The 20,778-nt window shown below is 54.8% G+C and overlaps 1 protein-coding gene and 1 long non-coding RNA gene across 11 annotated transcripts in view, besides 3 other annotated features; one reads left to right on the top strand and one right to left on the bottom strand.

Annotated features, from left to right (window-relative positions):
• Positions 1 to 20,381, top strand: part of SPNS3 (SPNS lysolipid transporter 3, sphingosine-1-phosphate (putative)) — a 54,265-nt gene extending 33,884 nt beyond the window's left edge. For 6 of the 9 annotated variants that reach the window (XM_047435588.1, NM_182538.5, XM_011523725.1 and 3 more), the window contains 4 exons: positions 10,749 to 10,814; positions 18,405 to 18,503; positions 18,589 to 18,760; positions 19,983 to 20,381. In XM_047435588.1, the coding sequence (XP_047291544.1) occupies positions 10,749 to 10,814; positions 18,405 to 18,503; positions 18,589 to 18,760; positions 19,983 to 20,071 (426 nt within the window). In that variant the 3' untranslated portion in view covers positions 20,072 to 20,381. Of the gene's footprint in view, positions 1 to 10,748; positions 10,815 to 17,275; positions 17,397 to 18,404; positions 18,504 to 18,588; positions 18,761 to 19,982 lie in introns of those variants that run through there. The other 3 variants (XR_934008.1, XM_011523724.1, XM_011523723.1) reach the window with 3 other exon arrangements.
• Positions 8,659 to 9,527: an enhancer, noted in NCBI's record as "H3K4me1 hESC enhancer chr17:4379777-4380645 (GRCh37/hg19 assembly coordinates)". NCBI's record gives its function as "activates a minimal SCP1, AML or CMV promoter by ChIP-STARR-seq in naive H9 embryonic stem cells {active_cell/tissue: H9 hESC(naive)}" and the evidence as "EXISTENCE:reporter gene assay evidence [ECO:0000049][PMID:30033119]".
• LOC124903899 (uncharacterized) lies at positions 12,557 to 18,629 on the bottom strand. 2 transcript variants are annotated; one of them, XR_007065583.1, is made up of 2 exons: positions 18,301 to 18,629; positions 12,557 to 14,766 (listed from the first exon to the last, which is right to left on the bottom strand). It is a non-coding gene; the product is annotated as an uncharacterized LOC124903899 (long non-coding RNA). The 2 variants fall into 2 exon arrangements; XR_007065582.1 differs by lacking the exon at positions 18,301 to 18,629 and adding an exon at positions 15,709 to 16,007.
• Positions 13,150 to 13,905: an enhancer, noted in NCBI's record as "H3K4me1 hESC enhancer chr17:4384268-4385023 (GRCh37/hg19 assembly coordinates)". NCBI's record gives its function as "activates a minimal SCP1, AML or CMV promoter by ChIP-STARR-seq in primed H9 embryonic stem cells {active_cell/tissue: H9 hESC(primed)}" and the evidence as "EXISTENCE:reporter gene assay evidence [ECO:0000049][PMID:30033119]".
• Positions 18,620 to 18,699: an enhancer, noted in NCBI's record as "active region_11541". NCBI's record gives its function as "activates an Ori minimal core promoter by ATAC-STARR-seq in GM12878 lymphoblastoid cells {active_cell/tissue: GM12878}" and the evidence as "EXISTENCE:reporter gene assay evidence [ECO:0000049][PMID:35858748]".
• Positions 20,382 to 20,778: the final 397 nt, after the last annotated feature.

Consider the following 20,778-nt stretch of genomic DNA (forward strand, 5'->3'; position numbering starts at 1 on the left):
CCCGGCTAATTTTTGTATTTTTAGTAGAGAGGGGGGTTTCACCATGTTGGTTGGCCAGGGTGGCCTCGAATTCCTGACCTCAAGTGGTCCACTCGCCTCGGCCTCCCAGAGTGCTGGGATTACAGGCATGGGCGACGGCGCCTGGCTACTTCCACCTGATTTTATTGGCCAAAGCAAGGTATAAGGCCACCCCCAGTTTACCATGGCAGGGGACTTCATACAAAGTGTGAATGTCAAGAGGCCTGATTAATTTGGGGCCATTTTGTAGCTTATGGACCACGTGGTTTAACAGGCTCTCTCTGGCTGCCACGTTGAGAATAGAATGAAAGAGGACAGGCTGGGCGTGGAGGCGCACACCTGTCATCCTAGCACGTTGGGCAGCTCAGGTGGAAGAATCGCTTGAGCTTAAGCTCAGGAGTTTGAGACCAGCCTGGGCAACATAGAGAGAAAAAATTAAAAAAACAAACAAAAAATAAATTAAAAAAAAGAAAGAGGACAAAGGCAGAAACAGAGAAATCACTCCAGAGGATTTGTAGTAATATAGGCAGGAGATAGTGATGGCTTGGACCAGGGTAGCTATGGAGGAAGTGTGGAGAAGTGGTCAGATTCTGGGTATATTTTGGAAGTAGAATGAACAGGGTTTCCTGACAGACTGGGTGTGAAAGAAAGGAAGGAGTCCAGGGCGGCTCCAAGGTTTTTGCCCTGAGCAGCTAGAAGCATATGGAGTTGCCACTTACTGTGGGGCAGGGGGCGGTGGCGGCGGGGGAAGACTGAGGGAGGGGCAGGGGTTTTTGTTTTGGAGGGAGGGATTAGCAGTTCCATTTTAGACATGTTACATTTGAGGTGCTTCTTAGGACATTCAACTGGACCTCTTTTCTTTATTTCTCTCTCTCTTTCTTTTCTTTCTTTCTTTCTTTCTTTCTTTCTTTCTTTCTTTCTCTCTTTCTTTTTCTTTCTTTCTCTCTCTCTTTCTTTTTTTTTTTTGACGGAGTTTTGCTCTTGTCACCGAGGCTGGAGGGCAATGGCATGGTCTCAGCTCACTGCAACCTCCACCTCCCGGGTTCAAGTGATTCTCCTGCCTCAGCCTCCCGAGTAGCTGGGATTATGGGGCATGCCACCAGGCCCAGCTAATTTTGTGTTTTTGGTAGAGACGGGGGTTTCACGATGTTGCCCAGGCTGGTCTCGAACTCCTGACCTCAGGTGATCTGCCCACCTCAGCCTCCCAAAGTGCTGGGATTACAGGTGTGAGCCACTGCGCCCGGCCTCGGACCTGTTTTCTAAGACAGGTTCTTGCTCTGTCACCCAGGCTGGAGTGCACTGGTGCGATCTCAGCTCACCGCATCCTGGACCTTCTGGGCTCAAGTGGATCCTCCCACCTCAGCCTTCTGAGTAGCTGGGACTACAGGTGTGAGCCACCGTGCCCAGCTAATTTCTGTATTTTTTTGTAGAGACGGGGTTTCACTATGTTACCCAGGCTGCTCTGGAACTACTGGGCTTGAGTGATCCGCCTGCCTCGGCCTCCCAAAGTGCTGGGATTACAGGCGTGAGCCACTGTGCCTGGCCTCAACTGGACATATTAAGAGGCAATTGGGCCGGGTGCCCAATGCAAACATGGTGAAACCCCATCTCTACTAAAAATATAGAAATTAGCCGAGGGTGACGGTGGGTGCCTGCAGTCCCAGTTCCTTAGGAAGCTGAGGCATGAGAATCACTTGGACCTGGGAGGTGGAGGTTGCAGTGAGCCAGGATCGCGCCACTGCACGCCAGCCTGGGCGACAGAGCGAGAGACTCCATCTCAAAAAAAAAAAAAAAAAAAAGCAATTGGATATGTATGTGTCTGGAGTTCAGGAGAGAGGTCCAGGCTGGTTATTTAAAGCCATGAGACCAAATGAGATCACCAAGGGCATGAGCATAGACCTGAAGCTCGAGCTTGGACGCATTCCACATGTCAGTCAAGGCTGTGAATGCGCAGTGCTACCGTGGTGAGGTCAAGGGTGGGACCAACAATTCACTGTATCGTGTTGTATCAAATGACTTTTATATTTTTATTTGGGAGACACTAAAAAAACAAAAACAAAAGCATAAAAGTACAGAGAAGAAAATAACCGTTATTCACGTTTTCATCTACAAGAATAAATAATTCTTCACATTTTGGCCTTTTTGCTTCTATATTTGTTATTTAATTAGGTAACCGTCATTCCGTACACGTGTCTCTCTATACATTCACAGGCTTATGGTTAGGTAAAAATAGTTTTATTAAACTGGGGTTATATAGTAGTGCAATTTTTAAAAACAGATTTATTGAGATACAATTCATGTATCAGGCCAGGCACAGTGACTCACGCCTGTAATCCCAGCACTTTGGGAGGCCGAGGTGGGCGGATCACTTGAGGTCAGGAGTTCGAGACCAGCCTGGCCAACATGGTGAAACCCCGTCTCTACTAAAAATACAAAAATTAACTAAGTGTGGTGGTGGGCGCCTGTAATCCCAGCTACTTGGGAGGCTGAGGCTGAGAATCGATTGAACTCAGGAGGCAGAGGTTGCAGTGAGCCGAGATCACGCCACTGCACTCCAGCCTGGGCAACAGAGCAAGACCCTGTCTTAAAATAATATTAGTAATAATTAATATATTGGACAGTTCACCCAATAAAGTGTATAATTCACTGGTTTTTCGTACATTCACAGAGTTCTACAACCATCACCACATCAGTTTTAGAACATTTTGCTCACCCCAAAAAGAAATTTCATGCCTATTAGCAGTCACCCCCATTTCCCTTCAATCTATCTCTCTGCTCCCCAGCCCGGGCCCTAGGCAGCTGCTAAATCTACTTTCTGTCTTTATAGATTTGTCTGTTCTGGATAATTCATATAAATAGAATCATATAATATGTTTAATTTATATGAATCCACTTGAATAAACGTAAAATCAAAGGAATTAAGTTCGAATTAGTTGTAAAACTGTGGACTTATTGATGAATACTAGCTATGAAAGAGGACACCAGCCTTCTTATACCTCCTCTCTCCCTTCTCTCCCCAACCTCCTGATTTTTGTTATATTAATATCTTTACTTTTCCAGATGTAGAGCATTCACAGTCTGTTCTTTTTCTTTTTTTTGTGAGACACAGTTTCGCTCTTGTTGCCCAGGCTGGAGTGGGATGGCACGAACTCGGATCACCACAACCTCTGCCTCCCGGGTTCAAACAATTCTCCTGCCTCAGCCTTCTGAGTAGCTGGGATTATAGGCATGCGACACCACGCCCAGCTAATTTTGTATTTTTAGTAGAGATAGGGTTTCTCTATGTTGGTCAGGCTGGTTGTGAACCCCCAACCTCAGGTGATCCACCCGCCTCGGCCTCCCAAAGTGCTGGGATTACAGGCGTGAGCCACTGTGCCTGGCCACAGTCTGCTCTTTAAGCATCATCCTTGTAGTGGCTTGACAACAGTTTCACATTTAAGTAGATTCAATGTTTGTTATCAGTCTGTTTACACAGATTCTTTATTCCTGAGTTTTTATTTTGCTTCAACTCCTAACTGGGTAGATTTTATGATTAAGGAGTTTTTATCTACCCCTTGTCCCCCAAAAGGCTAGAGAGTTTATTTTCTTTTGGTTCATTTATTCGTGAGATTGTCTTTTCTTTGATATTTATTTATTTATTTTGAGACAGGGTCTTACTCTGTCACTCAGGCTGGAGTGCAGTGGTGCAATCATGGCTGTCTGCAGCCTTGACCTCCTGGGCTCAAGTGATCCTCCCACCTCAGCCTCCCAAGTAGCTGAGACCACAGGCATGCACCACCACACCCAGCTAATTTTTGTATTTTTTGTAAAGGCAGGGTTTCACCATGTTTCCCAGGCTGGTCTCAAACTCCTCGGCTCAAGTGATCCACCCTCCTCGGCCTCCCAAAGTGCTGGGATTACAGGCATGTACCACTGTGCCCGGTCTGAATTAATATTCTCACTGCATTGTTTTATAGCTTGAAGCCAATATAAGGAATTTCCTTCTGCTCCTTCTCTTATCACCTATCTTTTAGGTTGGATTTTTTGTTTTTTTTTGAGACAGAGTCTCACTCTGTCGCCCAAGCTGGAGTGCAGTGGCACAATCTCAGCTCTCTGCAACCTCCACCTCCTGGGTTCAAGCGATCCTCCTGCCTTAGCCTCCCGAGTAGCTGGGACTACAGGCGTGCTCCACGACGCCAGCCAATTTTTGTATTTTTTAGTAGAGATGGGGTTTTACCATGTTGACCAGGCTGGTCTCGAACTCCTGACCTCAAGTGATCCACCCGTCTCAGCCTCCCAAAGTGTTGGGATTACAGGCGTGAGCCACTGCGCCTGGCCAAGTTGGATTTTTTTCTCCTTGTCTCCCTCCCTTCCTTCCTTCTTTCCTTTTCCACAATATGTATCCATAGTTTACATGCAGAATACTTTCCTCTGAGCTGGGTGTAGGCAGCTCTGCTCAGAAACCGAATTTGCTTTGATGTAATGTGGATGACTCTTTGTCTTTGACTCTCCCTGCCTTCTCTGTGACCATTCCATTGTCCAAAGGGGATGCAGTTTGAGTTGAGCTTGGGCTCCGCAGACTTTTCTGTTGCCGGAGGGAAATGCAGGGCTCAGGCAAATGAGGAGTCTGTGAAAACACCTGGGCTCTGCTCTGTCTTCTGGGATTCAGGTAAATGCTCTACAACATGGTTCATTCTACTTAATTACTGGATGCATTCCCTTCTGAGATGGGGGTTGCCCTCAGGCCTTGAGTGGAGTCCGTGATTGGAGCCATTGTTGGCTTTCTCTGTTTTTCCTCTCCCCAGCAGCTTTCCCTGCTGGCTCTCAGTTAGGGACTACTACTCAGTTAATTTCTCTCCAGATATGGGGGTTTTAGTGAATGGCTTTGGGGAGGGGAAGCCGAGAAGGGTATTACTCTCTTCTACAGAATTGTCTGCTCTTTTGCTTGGCAGCCTTTTTTTTTTTTTTTTTTTTTTTTTTTTTTTTTGAGGATTTTGCTGTCACCCAGGCTGGAGTGCAGTGCAGTGGTGTGATCATGGCTCACTGCAGCCTCAACCTCCCAGGCTTAAGGGATCCTCCCCCTTCAGCCTCTGGAATAGCTGGGATCACAGGTGCATGCCACCATGCCTGGCTAATTTTAAAATTATCTGTAGAGATAGAGGCTCACTATGTTGTCCAGGCTGGTCTTGAACTCCTGGGCTCAAGCAATCCTCCTGCCTCAGCCTCCCAAAGTGTTGGGATTATAGGTGTGAGCCACTGCGCCTGGCTGCCAGTATTGAATGTTTATTTCACTAGGTTTTCTTCTTTTCTTTGGTTAAAAAATCACTTTTTTCTGGCTTACTGTTTTTTGCTTCTGTGTGGGAACTCAAGTCTGTGACGCAACTTTCAATCCTCCATCTTTGCACAGGAGTTGACCCAGCTGATCTTGAAGGCTGCTCCTTGCCCAAACTTCATCATAGCTCTGAGTTCCCTCCTTGCCCAAGGAGAGATGTGGCCACCACTGCACAGAGCAGAGCCAGCATGGCTGTCACTGAGGCCTTTAGATCCAGGAGAGGACACTGCTCTTCCCAGTCTTTTTTTTTTTTTTTTTTTAAAGAGAGAGAGTCTCACTCTTTTGCCCAGGCCAGAGTGCAGGTGCGATCTGTCAACCTCCACCTCCCGGGCACAAGTGATTCTTGTGCTTTAGCCACCCGAGTAGCTGGGATTACAGGCACCCGCCGCCACACCTGGCTAATTTTTGTATTTTTAGTAGAGAAGGGGTTTTACCATGTTGGCCAGGCTGGTCTCGAACTCCTGGCCTCAAGTGATCTGCCTGCCTCGGCTTCCCAAAGTGCTGGGATTACAGGTGGGAGCCACTGTGCCCAGCCCCTTCCCAGTCTTGAAGACTCCTGAGTGAGGACCTGGGATGGAGGCCTGATAACTGCCCATCTGGTGTCCACAGGGGAGCTTGCAGGGTGGTTGGCAGAGATCAGCCAGGACGTGGTCCACCATAGCTGTCATCAAGGGTCAGCCCAGGATGCAGGGGATGGCTGTGGGATCTGCTCTGTGGCCCCTGGAGTGGTGCGGAAACCTGGGCTATGTGAGCTCCCCAACTCTGGGAAGCGTTCCTACCACTTCCCAGACTTGGCCCTTAGAGAGCCTCTTGGATAAGCCCTTTCTACCTGGCTTTCTGGGCTGGACAAACCAGGCCCCACCAGGGGCTGTCTGAGAGGGGCTGAGACAGGCCCACTCGTCCTTCCTCTGAGGGCCCCACCTCTCTGCCAAGATATAACAGGTGTCTGTTGGCTGGCAGCACGGCCCACCAGAAGAGCTCACAATCTCAGCCGAATTGTCTGGGAGGACGCAAAGGTTTTGCTCCCTTCACTGCCTCAGTCCCCACCTGCCTGCCCACTGGCTTGTTGGGCTGCTGCCGGCCCCTGGAAACCAGGCGGTGCCCTCGTGCCCCAATGCCAGTCCTTGCAATTACAGGTTGGCAAGTCCAGGGACAAAGCGTGCCAGACGGTGCAGCAGCTTGCTGGCGGCTGGTCTGTGTCCTGGGGCCTGTGTCCTGACTGGCTCAGGCAAAGAGATCGTCCGTGAGGGAGGAGGTTTGGGTCTCAGCTCTGCCCCAGGGACAGCGAGCCCCCAGGGGATACTGGCCTTCTCCCTTCTCGGTGGGCCCAGAATCCATTCTTTGCAGTTCAGAGTCAGTTACCGCCCAGTTGGAAGACTGAGCTGAACCAAGATTGAAGGCACCGCCCCCGCCACCCCACAGGGGCTGACCCTTTCCTCCTGCTTCCTCCTCCTGCTGACCTGTGCGTGCAGGTGGACGAGAGGAGAGGTGTGCGTGTACGCACATCCACTCTTGTGCATGGATGTGCACAGGAGTGAGACACAAGCATGTTTGTGTATGTGTGTGTGTGTGAGAGCATAATTACTGTGTTTATGATGAGACCGCAGGTATGCGTGGGTACATGCCAGGCTGTTTTTCGGCAAGTCCACCCCAACGAGCCTGTGCCAGGGTTTATAGTCATCATCTTTCTGGTGCCCTCGCCACACATGTTTTGGTATTTTGAATGGCTCCCCGCATATGTACGTAGTTGTGGCGTGTGAGTTCTTCGTGTGTGTCTCAGATTGTGGGTGTCCGTGTGTGGGTCCATGTGTGTGAGTGTGCTTGTGTGTTGGTCTCACGTGCACTTGTGAGAGGCCTCGGCTGTGCGTGTGTCTGGGCATGTTGGCGCGGCCGCATGTGTGACAGTGTGAGCATGGATACTTCTGTGTGTGGGTCTCTGTGGCCGGGGATGACTAAAGCCAGGGACATTTATCATCACTTTCCTAGCTCGAGGGGGAAATTCTCTTGGTCTGGAATGGCAGAGGCCAGGGGCTGAGGGGCTCCATGTTTCTCAGGCTCCAGGCAGTGTTCCCAGGCCCTATCTCCCAGAGGGATCTAAGTCAGGGTGCAGGGAGGCCACACAGACTCTGAGGAGACAGGGGCAGAGTCAGATTTCTGTTTCGGAAGTCCCCTCTGGGGCTGGTGTCTGGAGGGATGGTGGGGCCTGGGAAACTGGGGAGGAGATGGCCGGGGAGGCCTGGAGTGCACTGGCCAGCGGCCATGGGCAGGAGGAAGAGGCAGATTCGAGGAACGTGCGGATGCAAAACGGACAGAAATCAGTGATGAGGGGAGTGAGGGTGAGGAAGGCATGTAGGGACCCCCCAACCCCAGCGTCTGGCCTGGGTGATGGGGAGCAGGTGCTATTCCTGAGCCAGAGGGGATCAGCTCCGGCAGCTTGCTGGTGACCAGTCCGCGCCTGGGGCCTGTCTCCTGGCTGGCTCAGCCACACTGGGCAGGAACAGAGATGTTTGGGGACAGGGGAGAGAATGAGTTTAGGCAGCTGTTCAGTGTGAGGTGCCTGTGGCCGTCCAGGAAGGACCTGGGACTGCAGAGCTGAGATGCTCCTGTAGGAGCAGCTTCGAACAGTCAGCTGAATTCTACAAACCAGGGCCCTTTTTGTGTGTTTTCTTTGCTTTTGAGTTGTGGAGCCCGGGTTTGAACTGCTCATGGAAGCCACTGAACGCTAGGACCCAGCATGCACTGGCCTGTGAGGAGCCCCAGTGCAAAGCGGGGTTACCATCTTAACAAGCAGGGGCTGCTGGTGCTGAAGGGCCCTGGTGGAGCATCTGGGGCACCCTGGCGTCGTACCGTTGGGGAAACCAAGGCCCAGAGGCGGGGACCACCCCAGGCCCGCTCAGCAAGGCAGGGTGGGGCTGCGCCCGTCCACCCCAGGAGGTCACACCCCTTGGCTGTGGAGCCCCTCCTGGAGCTGAGTCAGCCCTGGTGGCCGCTGCCCCGGGAGACTGTAATTACAGGATTAGAAGGTGGCCTCTCCGCAGCTGAGCCCTTTGCCCCTCAAAGCTGCCAAGTGGAGACGAGGATTTGTTGGTGCGGTGCCGGCCTCCAGGTGTGTCTGAGGAGACCTGGCATCGTCGGGCGGCTTCTTCAGCCTGAAAGGCCCCATTGTAGCTGCAGCCTCCCTCTGATGGGCTCTATTTTGGGGCCGGGATCCACCCTGTCCCAGCTGGAGGAAGGAAAGGGTGTATTTCAGCATGTCCTATGGGTGTGGGGTGGCCGGGGAGAGCAAAACGGGGAGCTGGTTGGGGGACAGCGTGCCTGGGCTGCACAGAGGTCACAGAGGCAGACGCTGGCAATGTGAAGGGGGGAGAGGCCTGGAGGGCCAGGTGCAGGTGCCCGGAAGAAGTCAGAGGGAGATGGGTGTGAGTCGGGCTGGGCTTTCATGTGGCCCCAGGAGGCAGCTGGCAGACCCTGCTAGGCTGGAATGTGGATCCGCAGCTGCCCGGGCCCCGCCTGAGACCTGCCTGCCAGCGACTTCCTGATTCCTGCCCCTGTGGGTGCCCGGCCCCATGTCCTAGGCCTGAGGGAGACCCACCTGCCCTCAGGGGCCTCTCAGTTTGGGTGCCAGGGACCAGGCACTGCAGTCCCAGGGGCTGGGTTAGGCCAGGAGAGCGCATGGCTGCTGGGACTCCTTGGCTGGTTCTGCTCTCCCTCCACCAGAGCTGGGCCGCGTTCCTGTCCCGCCCGGCATGGTGGCCACATCCCAGCTCCTTGCCTCCGCTCCCGTGGGTCCCCGGCTGGCGTGGTCTTGTGGCTGTCCTGGGCCCGTCCTGATCCTGACTGTCCTTCAGGGCTCTCCCTGGCGCCACCTCTGTCCAGGGGCCCCCTGCCCATCTCGGGGTGTCCTCTGATTCCCCAGTGCTAGCCTCACCAGGTACTGTGGATGCTGGGAACCCCCACTCCCCTCTTCCCCCCGTGGCCTCTTCAACCTCACCATGCACAGGCCATCACGGCGTGGGGGGTGGGGGGCGCTCACCAGGACGTGGCTTGATGCATGCCCTCTGGCCTGAGTTTGTCTGTGAAATGGGTGTAATGACGTCTGCCTTACAGGGCACCTGACCTGAGGGGTTAGACAGGGTCACAAGAGAGGACAGGGCTGGTGCGTGGCAGGTGTTTGGGTGGCAGTCCTTCAGGTCCTCCATCCTGGGTGCTCCCTGGCCACTGATCATCAGGTCTCTGGGTGCCTGAGCCTGGGCTACCCTGGGGACAGCCCCGTGATCCAGGAATGACTAATTCCACCCCTGCAATAAGCTCTTGGAAGCTTTGAGAAATGAGACTCTTTTTTTCTCTCTTTCTTCTTGCTGCTTCATTAAACTCTTCTTGAGTGAGGGGAATGAGGATTGTCCTAATCCCTTGGCACGAGGTGAAGGCAGGGGGCGTGTTCTGGGCTTGTAACCAGAGGACACTGGGAGCAGGGCTGGGGGTGGGCACTGGGCAGGGGCCGGAAGCCTCACATTCCAAGCAGGCTTTACCCAGGGGCAGCTGGTGACCCCAGACAAGCCCCGTCCTCGACCAGGCTCGGTTTGACTGTCCGCATGATGGGTGTACCAGGCCTCGCCCACCTCCCTGTGCTGCTCCAAGGGAAGGGGATGGCCCGGAGGGTCCTTTGGTGGGGTGCCTGGGGCTGGGCACGCTGGCTGGCACACGGTAGGTGCCTTATCAGTGTATACGGACTTTTGGGGAAAACAGAGGAGGGGTGGACAGCCTCCGAGTTGTCTTTTACTCTTTGTCCTCTAAAGTCTGTTTTTTTTTCACTTTTCCTTTTTTTTTTTTTTTTTTTGAGGCGGAGTCTCACTCTGTCACCCAGGCTGGAGTGCAGTGGTGTGATCTCGGCTCCCTGCAACCTCTGCCTCTTGGGTTCAAGCTATTCTCCTGCCTCAGCCTCCTGAGTAGCTGGAACTACAGGTGTGAGCCACCACACCCTGCTAATTTTTGTATTTTTAGTAGAGATGGGGTTTTACCATGTTGGCCAGGCTGGTCTTGAACTCCTGACCTCAAGTGATCCGCCCACCTCAGCCTCCCAAAGTGCTGGAATTACAGGCTTGAGCCACCGTGCCTGGCTTAAAGTCTGTTTTCTTACCTTTAAAAGTGGCCTGGGAGGAGGCCTAGCTGCTTCCTCCTGGGCCCCAGCGAGGGACTCCAGGGGCTGGACACTCGCTTATGGGTCCTGGCTCTGTCTACCTACCGTCAAGGCTGCTGGAACTGGAAAAATAGTTCTAGGCCTTCCTCGCTCACTCCAATAAGTCTCAATAATGCCTTTCTCTGTAGCGTCCCAGTCTCTCCTCTCCACAGGTGGGAAGCAACAGGTGGGGTTGGTGACTGGGATCTGGGAATCCTCACCCAGGCCACCCTCTGTCCACAGGTGTTCCTGGGCCTTGGGGAGCTGCTTCTGTCCTGCAACTGGGCAGTGGTTGCCGACATCCTGCTGGTAGGTGTGGGAGTCGGGGTGGTGGGCTGAGCAGGGGGAGCTGGAGAGGATTGGGCCTCTGCTGCTGAGCAGCTGGGCACTGGCGGCGACATCAGAGACCATACATTAGGGGACCAAAGCCATTCACGGTTATCTTGGACCAGAGGCCTCTCTGACACTCTCAAACATCTCTGACCATCATCCCGATTTTGCAGATGAACAAATGGAGGTTCAGAGAAGGCAGGTGCCTGTTCCAAAGTCACACAGCCCCAACGCAGGGAGCCAGGACCGGAACCTAGGCATTTTGACTCCCTGGGCTACTTCCCTCCCTCTTTTCTTTTTTGAGACAGAGTTTCACTCTTGTTGCCCAGGCTGGAGTGCAATGGCCTGATCTTGGCTCACTGCAACGTCTGCCTCCTGGGTTCAACTGATTCTTCTGCCTCAGCCTCCCAAGTAGCAGAGACTACAGGCACCCGCCACCATGCCCGGCTAATTTTGTATTTTTAGTAGAGACAGGGTTTCACCATATTGGCGAGGCTGGTCTTGAACCCTGACCTCAGGTGATCTGCCCGCTTCGGCCTCCCAAAGTGCTGGGATTACAGGCGTGAGCCACCGTGCCTGGCCCCTCCCTCCTTCTTTCTGTAGCATACTGCTTCTCAGCAAGCAGGTTCCTTGGCCTCTACTCTGGGGCGTGCAGACGGGATGCCATCCTTCAGGGCAGTAGCCACTGAGGCCCATTGTGCCAGCCCACACCAGCTCGTGTGTCACAGGCTGCCATGCAAGGATCAGCCCTGCCTGTAAGAGGCCTGACACTGTCTTGACCACATGGCTGCTGGTCCAGAGTCCCACACGGCCCCTCCCTGAGCCCCATGCTCTTCGTCCAGCCTCCTTGCCTCCTTCTGGGAGGCATACAGGGAAGGACTTTGAACACATGAAGGGCTGTGCCTTTGTAGATAACGCAGGGCCCTGGGCCTGTGAGCACCCTGAGAGCCTTCCTTCTGCCTCCTGGCAGCCTGGCACAGTCTGGTGCTGGCCACAAGGGAAATGGACCAGACTGGCAGTCAGCTGAGAGCTGTCCTGAGGGCATTCAATGCCGCGGCACCAGCCTGGATTCAGAAAACAGACCTGGCTGTCAGCCCTGGTCCTGCCACTTATGGGCTGTGTGGCCTTAGGCAAGTCACTGTGTGTCTCTGAGCCTCAGTATCCGGATGTGGAAAGTGGGGATGATAATGGCACCTGCCTTATGGATTGATGTGAGGGTGAAATGAGAAGATCCATCTGCCTGGCACAGAGAATGCTGGCTAGGATTCTCACAGCAATCCGGAATTTTCCATTTTCTCATTTTCTATCCCCCAAAGAAATCATGGTGCCCTAGAATCTGGGTTTGAAAGGGTTATGGGCATGTATAGTCGTTGAATCTGTCAACAAACCCTGCTTGAATACTACTGTGGATGGGGTGCTCACTCCCTGCCAAGATGTCTGCCCCTCCCCGGCAGATCCCCTGACCCCTCCCCACGGCCCAGGCCCAGCGAGTGTGGAGAGGCCTGCCCTGTCTTTGGCTCCTGGGTGAGTGGATCAGCTGCAGGACTGGCAGGTCTTCCCTGCCCCTCCCTCCAGACAGGAGACTTGGGCTCCAGCCCAGAGTCAGCCGCAGACCTGCTACATGGCCCTGGGCCTCAGTTTCCTTGTCTATAAAAGGGGTAATCACCACCTGCCCGGTAGGGTGAGCAAGGCGGCCTCCAGGAATGCTCAGGAAAGGGGAAGGCATTGGCAAATGTTTTATTCATGGGATTGTCCACTTTTAGGCTCAGGGAGATTAACATCCCCCCAGCATAGCTGGTTCTCTCTGAGGTGGTCCAAACAGAGCTGCACCTGCCCCCACAGCTTCCCTGGCCTGCCCCCCACGGCGCAGCTCCCTCTTCCACATGACAGCCCCACAGATATGTGAAGGCTGCACCCGTGTCCCCCAGCGTCTGCATTTGTAAGAATGATTAACCTGGCAGAGCCAGGCTCTTTGTGGGGTTAAAGAGGAGAGTGTGTGCTGGAGAGGGCGGGTGGGGGAAGGGTGGAAGGAGGGTTAGGGGCTGGCCAGCTGCACAGTTTTACCCATTTGGGGAGCTGCCCAGGGAGCCGGCTGGACAGGAACCAGCCCACCTCAGGGCTCCCTGTGGCCCTTCCTTGGCTTGGAGGCCTCCAGCCACAATGCTTTGCACCACCATCCCAGAGCCTCCCGCCCCCTTCCCTGCCTTCCCACCTGCCCGGAGCCCCGTGGCCAAAGATGCCTTTTGGCCTTCGGGGATCAGAGCTGAGCAATCCTTGTAGCCCCTATAGTTCGGTTCCTCCATGTTGCTGCTTCCTCCCTGTAAAGGCAGGTGGTGGGGGAGCCGTTCTGTGCAGTGGAGGGGCAGATGCCAGCTTGGAGCAGGGTGAGGAGGGTGAGGGAGGGGAAGCAGGACACCGAGGGTAGACAATTCCCTTGAGGAGCTGAGCTGACAGGAGCAAAGGGCATGGTAGCTGGAGTTGGCAGAAGATCCCAGGAAGCTGGCATTGCTTTTCAAGAGGGGAGGACAGAACAGCCTCCAGGGAGCAGAGAGGGGCAAGCAGGAGGAGAGAGGGGGCCATGTTTGAGGGTGAGCTGGGGGTGGAATCCAGCACTGGGGGAGGAAGTGGCCTCCCAGCAGAGCAGGGGCAGGAAGTGTGTGGGGACAGGGTCTGTGGCAGGAAGTAGAGGAAGGTCCCCTTTGCCGGCCGGCACTGGCTCCTGAGACAGGAGATCGGCTTCTCTTTCAGCAGGGGCCCAGGGAGGGAGGAGGCCTTAGGGTGTGTGTGAACAGGGTCCACAGAACAAGGGAGCAGGAAGCTAAGGGCAGGGCACGTTCACGTGAACAGCTTTGGGCGGCCAAGAAAGCCACGAGGAGCTGATAGGAAAATGGGTGGAAACTGCAGGTGTCTGGGTGGTTGGAGCCTGTGGGTTAGGTCAGAGGGCAGAGGGCAGCAGAGCCCAGGCTCGAGGACTCTGCAGCAGCCCATCTGCTCCCACTCCCAGCCTGGCTCCTCACTAGCTGTGTGACCCTGGCCAAGTGACTGAACCTCTCTGGGTCTTGGTTTGCTCACCTGTCCAGTAGGTAGAGCGGTGGCAACCACCATTGACACCCCAGGCTATAAGGATAGAATGAACTCACACCTGCGTCCTGCAGATTCCTGAGTGGGCGTGTGGGCCCCACTGACTTCCAGATCATCCCTTCCTTGGGACACTGCTCTCTCTCTCTCTTTTTTTTTTTTTTTACTTTTGAGACGGAGTCTCGCACTGTCGCCAGGCTGGAGTGCAGTGGTGCGATCTCAGCTCACTGCGACCTCTGCCTCCTGGGTTCAAGCGATTCTCCTGCCTCAGCCTCCTGAATAGCTGGGACTACAGGCATGCGCCACCACGCCCAGCTAATTTTTGTATTTTTAGTAGAGACGGGGTTCACCATGTTGGCCAGGATGGTCTCGATCTCTTGACCTCATGATCCGCCCCCCTTGGCCTCCCAGAATGCTGGGATTATAGGTGTGAGCCACTGCGCCTGTCCAGGACACTGTTCTCTTTGATGCCATCTCCACAATGGGGAGAATCCAGGTTATCTCTGGAGAAGGGACCTCAGGGGCTCTCCGGTCCGGTGGCTTGGAGACGTCATTGTGCATGAGAGTCAGATTTGAGGGAGCTTGTGACAAACCCAGATTCCAGGCCCTGTGTCCTCTGAGTCTGATTCAGTGGGTCCGTGCTGGGGTCCAGGGACCTGCATTTCTGATGAACTTCCCAAGTGATCCTGCCGTAGCATTCCGTAGAGCACGCTTTGAGAACACTGGTCTCACGCCGCAAGCTCCCCAGTCCATAAATGCTTTGCCAAATTCTAGCCATCCCCTTGTTGACATACGCCTCCAATGGGGAGCTCGTTCTGCATACCTCGGGCAGCCCCTGCCTCTCGGGGGGTTTCTGTTGATGAAAATGATTTGGTTCAGTCACAGCCAAGACCCACCTCTGCCAGCCTCCCCTTGGCCCCGCTGGGCCATAGAGGGGCCCTGCTCCCTGGAGACTGAGATCGTGTCCCCTGAACCCGCATCTCCCCAGGCAGAGCTCCCTGCCTCCCGAAACCTAGTCATGAGGTCTTCAGCTCCCTCCCAGCCCTGCTGTCTGTCCCCGCCCCACTCAGGATGGCCCAGAGCCAGCTCACCCCAATCCCCCTCCAGGCAGGGGACAGTGTAAGCAAAGGTGTGGAGGGAGGATCCCAGGGGCACGATCTCTGGATCCCAACCAGTTGGGGGGCTAGAGCAGAAGGGGAGCTCATTCCCTCTTTCTCAGCCCTGTCCTCTGGGGTCCTGGAATCCAGCCACAGGCTCATCTCCCACCCCTCAGCAGACGTCCCCACAGTTCCCCGGAGAGTTGTCACCTCTGCGTTCTCCCCCTGCCCCAGGTCTCCATGCTTCCCTGCTCAGCCTCTGCCCCCCAGGTAGCTGTCTGCTCACTGGCCTGTCTCACCCTCTCAGGGGCGTCTGGGGGCGAGGCCTGGGTGGGGGTGCAGGAGGCAGGCTGCCTGGTGGCTGCTGCTCCGACTTGCTGCAAGCCCTTGGGTGGCCCTGGTTTCGCCCTCGGCTATAAAGGGAACGGCCCTTCTAAGAAGGGAGAGCCAGAAACAGAGGTGTTTTTGTCTCAGAATAGAGTGAGCCTGGATTTTTGGGAACCCAAAGCCTCTTATTTCTGAAATTACCCCCTGGGCTCTCCAGCTTCTGTGGGCCCAGCCTTGGCTGCTGGCTGCACGGAGACAATGAGGACTTGGAACAGGCTGGGGGAGACCCACCTCTCTCGCCACTGGCAGCAGTGACTGAGCTGGGCCCAGCAGGTTGGGGTTCCTGGGAGAGGAGGAAGGGGCCAGCCTACCTGGACCTAACTGTGGGGGTCCCAGCAGCCCCAGCCTCCATGTGGACCTTTCTGAACATTCAGGTTCCTCCCTCCAGGAAGCCTCACCTGCCTTCCCAGAGCCACCAGTGAGTAATCACATAATTATGGGGTGAGAAGGAAGTCCTTGGGGAAGGTGCAAAGCTGTTGGTCAGTTCCTTCTCAGGCCTGTTGACAGATCCTGGTGATGGCAAGAGGCCCGGTTTCTCTTGCCACCTGTACATGGTGGCTCAGTCCCAGTGACCCTGGGACCAGCGAGTCACTACAGTGCCTCCTGCCACTCTGCCCTGCCCACCACCAAACCCCCTGCATCTGTCCCCTGGGATTCTGGAATCCAGAGATCGTGTCCCTGGGATCCTCCCTCCACACCGTCGCTTACACTGTCCCCTGCCTGGAATGCCTTTCCCCGTCTCTTTGCCAGTTACTCTGCCATCCGTTTACAGGGCTAGTGATGAACTTGTCCTCCTCATCTTTCTCAGATTTCTGAATGTTCTATTACAAATGCATAAATATTGCTAGAAACACCGGCTCCTCCTTGCCCATCACAGCAGAGTGGTCAAAAGGCCAGATCCTAGAGGGAGAAGGCCTGCAATCCTCTCTCAGCCCTGTTATTTCAGGCTGGGTGATGTTGGGCAAGTCACTTGCCCTCCCTGTGGAGGTTTTCCTCATCTGTAAAAATGCAGGTGATCATCATCTCCCTCTCATGGGTTGTTCAAGTTGATATATAAAATGTATACAGCAAGCATTCAATAAATGTTGGCAATTATTATTATTTTATTATTATTTTTTGAGACAGGATCTTGCTCTTTCACTCAGGCTGGAGTATAGTGGTGCCACCTCGGCTCACTAGAACCTCCACCTCCCGGGTTCAAGCGATTCTCCTGCCTCAGCCTCCTGAGTAGCTGGGATTATAGGCACGCGCCACCACACCCAGCTAATTTTTGTATTTTTAGTAGAGATGGGATTTCGCCATGTTGGCCAGGCTGGTCTTGAACTCCTGACCTCAAGTGATCCACCTGCCTCAGTCTCCCAAAGTGCTGGGATTACAGGTGTGAGCCACTGTGCCCAGCTAATATTGATTAACTCAAGGCCTCAGATCATGGACACCTAGGTCTTGGGGATACGGCTCCAGGGTGTAAGCGCCCCTGTGGCTGTCCAGTTGGGTTCATGTGACCATGTGGTCTCTGCTTGAGTCCCCTCCCCCTCCCTCCTTCCATCCCCTGCTGTAGCCCTGGGTTCTGGCAGACTTTCTCCTGGGAATAGTCTCCCAGATGGACCTACTTGAGTTATTTGGTTGGCAAACTTTCAGCTAGTCCCCTCTGTGCCTGGTGTCTTGCAGGGACCCCAAGAGAAATTAAGGGTCTTTGTTGCCCACACAACATAGGGAATAAGGGGTGGTGGACAGAGAAAGGGCCCCTCCCAGTTCTGGGAGACATGCGTTAATTAGGGGTGTGCATAGGAGTTGCGGGAGCTCAGGGCAGGTACCTGAACTCTGAGAGGGCTTCACAGAGGAGATGACCGAAACGTAAGTCCTAAATGACAAATATAGATGCTCCAGCTGGACCAGAGAGTGGAAGGCACGCCAGGCAGAAGGCGCAGCTGAGTTCAAGGGCCTGGAGCATCCTGTCTCAGAGCGTTATTTTGGTCTGATGTCCACACGAAGCCTCCAGGTAGCAGACGAATAACGATAATGAATAAAACTCTCAAGATCAGTACCATTATTACCCCCACTTGGGGATGGAGAGACTGAGGGAAGAAAGGTGAAACAGTTTGCTCAAAGTCACACAGCTAGCGAGTGGGGATCTGGATCGGAACCTGAGTGTGTGACACCAGAGTTCTTTATTTTTTTTATTTTTTTTTTTTTTGAGATGGGATTTTGCTCTTGTTGCCCAGGTTGGATTGCAGTGGTACGATCTCAGCTCACTGCAACCTCCGCCTCCCGTGTTCAAGCAATTCTCCTGCCTCAACCTCCCGAGTAGCTGGGATTACAGGCATGTGCCACCACGCCGGCTAGTTTTTGTATTTTTAGTAGAGACAGGGTTTCACCATGTTGCCAGGCTGGTCTTGACCTCCTGACCTCGGGTGATCCACCCGCCTTGGCCTCCCAAAGTGCTGGGATTACAGACGTGAGCCACCGCGCCTGGCCCAGAGTTCATCTTCTTTATGTTCTCAGCCTTGTCCGTGGAGTCGTGCGGGCTTCTCCAGCAAGGCCGCCTTTGGTCTCTGCCCCAGGGGCCTTGAGGTTCCTGAGAGGACTGAGCCCTCCGTACCACCCCTGCCCAATTGCCTGCACATGCAGACACCTGGCATGCACCCGCTCTTCGCCCTGCCCGCTTGTGCTGCTGCATCCTGGGCCCCTGAGCTGGGACACCCCAGCCTCATTCACTGTGGTCACATGCATGCCTGGTTCCTTCCCAGTTCAAGAGCAAACTCTCAAGAGGGGTGGCCCTGATCAGGGGCCTTGGCACCCCCATCCTGGGGCACTGGGGAAGCTTCAGATGGGCTTGATGTCTTGATGTTCTGGGGTGGGACTTTAGACCTTGGGGACCGTCGACTCCCTCCCATCCCACTCACCTGAATGGCCTGTCACTCCTCCAGGCAGGTCCTTGGCAGGTGGGGAACAGCAGGCAAGGGTGCCCTCACTTGGGGTGCCCCCCTGCTGTGCCTATGTTTTGCAGTCTGTGGTGGTGCCCAGATGCCGGGGGACGGCAGAGGCACTTCAGATCACGGTGGGCCACATCCTGGGAGACGCTGGCAGCCCCTATCTCACAGGACTTGTAAGACGTGTCTGCGTGTGTGGGGTGGGGAGGGTCTGGGGGCCAGGCTGGTGGGCCTGGCAGACTCATCCCTTCTCCTCCGCAGATCTCTAGTGTCCTGCGGGCCAGGCGCCCTGACTCCTATCTGCAGCGCTTCCGCAGCCTGCAGCAGAGCTTCCTGTGCTGCGCCTTTGTCATCGCCCTGGGGGGCGGCTGCTTCCTGCTGACTGCGCTGTACCTGGAGAGAGACGAGACCCGGGCCTGGCAGCCTGTCACAGGTACCCTACCCATTGCACCAGGCCCGGCTCAGGGCCGGCACCCTAGGGACAGACAGCACTGGCCACCCCCTGAATCCCTGGCCAGTTTGTTTGTTCATTCATCCAGAAATGCTTAGTACACCCCTGCTATGTACCAGGGAAGGTTGCAGATGCTGGGGAGTGAAAGAATGAGGCCAAGTCCAGGCCCCTGTAGAAACTGACACTGTAGTTGGTGAAGACAGACCAGAAACAGAAAAGGTTAAAGATATAGCATGTTCAGGGTGACGAGTGCTATGGAGAGGTATAAAGCAGGAAAGGAAGGAGAAAGGGGCCGGGCGCGGTGGCTCACACCTGTAATCCCAGTACTTGGGGAGGCCAAGGCGGGCGGATTACAAGGTTAGGAGTTCAAGACCAGCCTGGGCAACATGGTGAAGCCCTGTCTCTACTAAAAATATAAAAATTAGCCAGGTGCGGTGGCACACACCTGTAGTCCCAGCTACTCAGGAGGCTGAGGCAGGAGAATCACTTGAACCCGGGAGGCGGAGGCTATAGTGAGCTGAGATCTCGCCACTGCACTCCAGCCTGGGCGACAGCAAGACTGTCTCAAAAAAAAAAAAAAAAAAAAAAAAGGGACAGGTAGGTGCAGGCTGCAAGGATCCCCACTGCACAGGCGAAACTAGAGCAAAGATCTGGAGGAAACGAGGGAGTGAGCCGTTCAGCGACCTGGGGAAAGACGCTTCCGGCAGTGGGGACAATCAATGCAAAGGCCCTGCCATGGGAATGCACCTGATATGTTTGAGGATCAGCAAGGAGGCCAGTGTGGCTGCAGCAGAAGCAAGAGGGACAGTGGTAGGGGTGAGGGATACGGGGCCAGAGCAGGCAGTCCTTGTAAAGACAGTGGCTTTTGCTCAGAGTGAGACGGGAGCTGCTGTGGGGCTTCCAGGAGAGGAGCACCGAGGTGGTCTGATTGATGTTGCCAAAGCATCTCCCTGGCTGCTGTGTTGAGAACAGACTGTAGGAGGGTCAGTGTTGAGGCCGAGAGGCATAGCCGACTCCCCTTCCAGGGGAGAGTGGTGCCTAGACCACGCCAGTGGCATTGAAGGTGATGACAAGGGGTTGGATCTGGAATGTATTCTGCATTTGGGACAGAGAGGATTTCCTGACAGCCCGTGCCCAGGCCCAGGCCTGGTCCCAAAGCACCTTCTGCAACCTTCGGGCAGGCTGAGCATCTTTCCTCCTGCAGGGACCCCAGACAGCAATGATGTGGACAGCAACGACCTGGAGAGACAAGGCCTACTTTCGGGCGCTGGCGCCTCTACAGAGGAGCCCTGAGGTCCCTGCCTACACTCGTCCTGCCTGCAAGCCTCCCGTTGGTCCCCACAGCAGCAGTGCCTCGGTTCCTCTTTGGCTGTCCTCGGGGACTCCGGCTGAGGCACATCTGCCACTTTTGAATTCCCGGCTGGAGAGCTGGCAGGACCCTGTGGCTGGGCTGGGAATGGAGCTGTCAGCACTCTGCGTGGGAGGCCTGGGCCTGTGCCTGCATCCCGCTCAAGGCTGCCCCAGCCTGGGGTCTCCAGCCTGGCTGCTGCTGGGCCCTGAATAAAGAGAGGCCAGTACAAAGCCCATGGATTTTGGGCCTGTAGACAGCCGTGTTATTTATAGCCTCTCGTGCCTCTGCTGGAGGGGAAGTGGGTGAGGACGGGATGGGCAGTCCAGGCCAAGGATGCAGGGCTGTCCTGAAGTGGGGAAGCTGGGGGGCTGGCTCAGCATGGGTCTCTAGGGGTCCGCAGCCTGGACCTCCCACTCTGACCCAGCTTCTCCATTCTGCAAAGTCACAGGCACAGGACACCCTCTACGTGATTCCACTCTTTGTTTTGTTTTGTTTTTGAGATGGAGTTTAGCTCTTGTCCAGGCTGGAGTGCAGTGGCGCAATCTCGGCTCATTGCAACCTCCGCCTCCCAGGTTCAAGAGATTCTTCTGCCTCAGCCTCCTAAGTAGCTGGGATTACAGGCATGTGCCACCACGCCCAACTAATTTTT

Source organism: Homo sapiens, chromosome 17, assembly GCF_000001405.40.
Source record: "Homo sapiens chromosome 17, GRCh38.p14 Primary Assembly".
Lineage (NCBI taxonomy): Eukaryota > Metazoa > Chordata > Mammalia > Primates > Hominidae > Homo > Homo sapiens.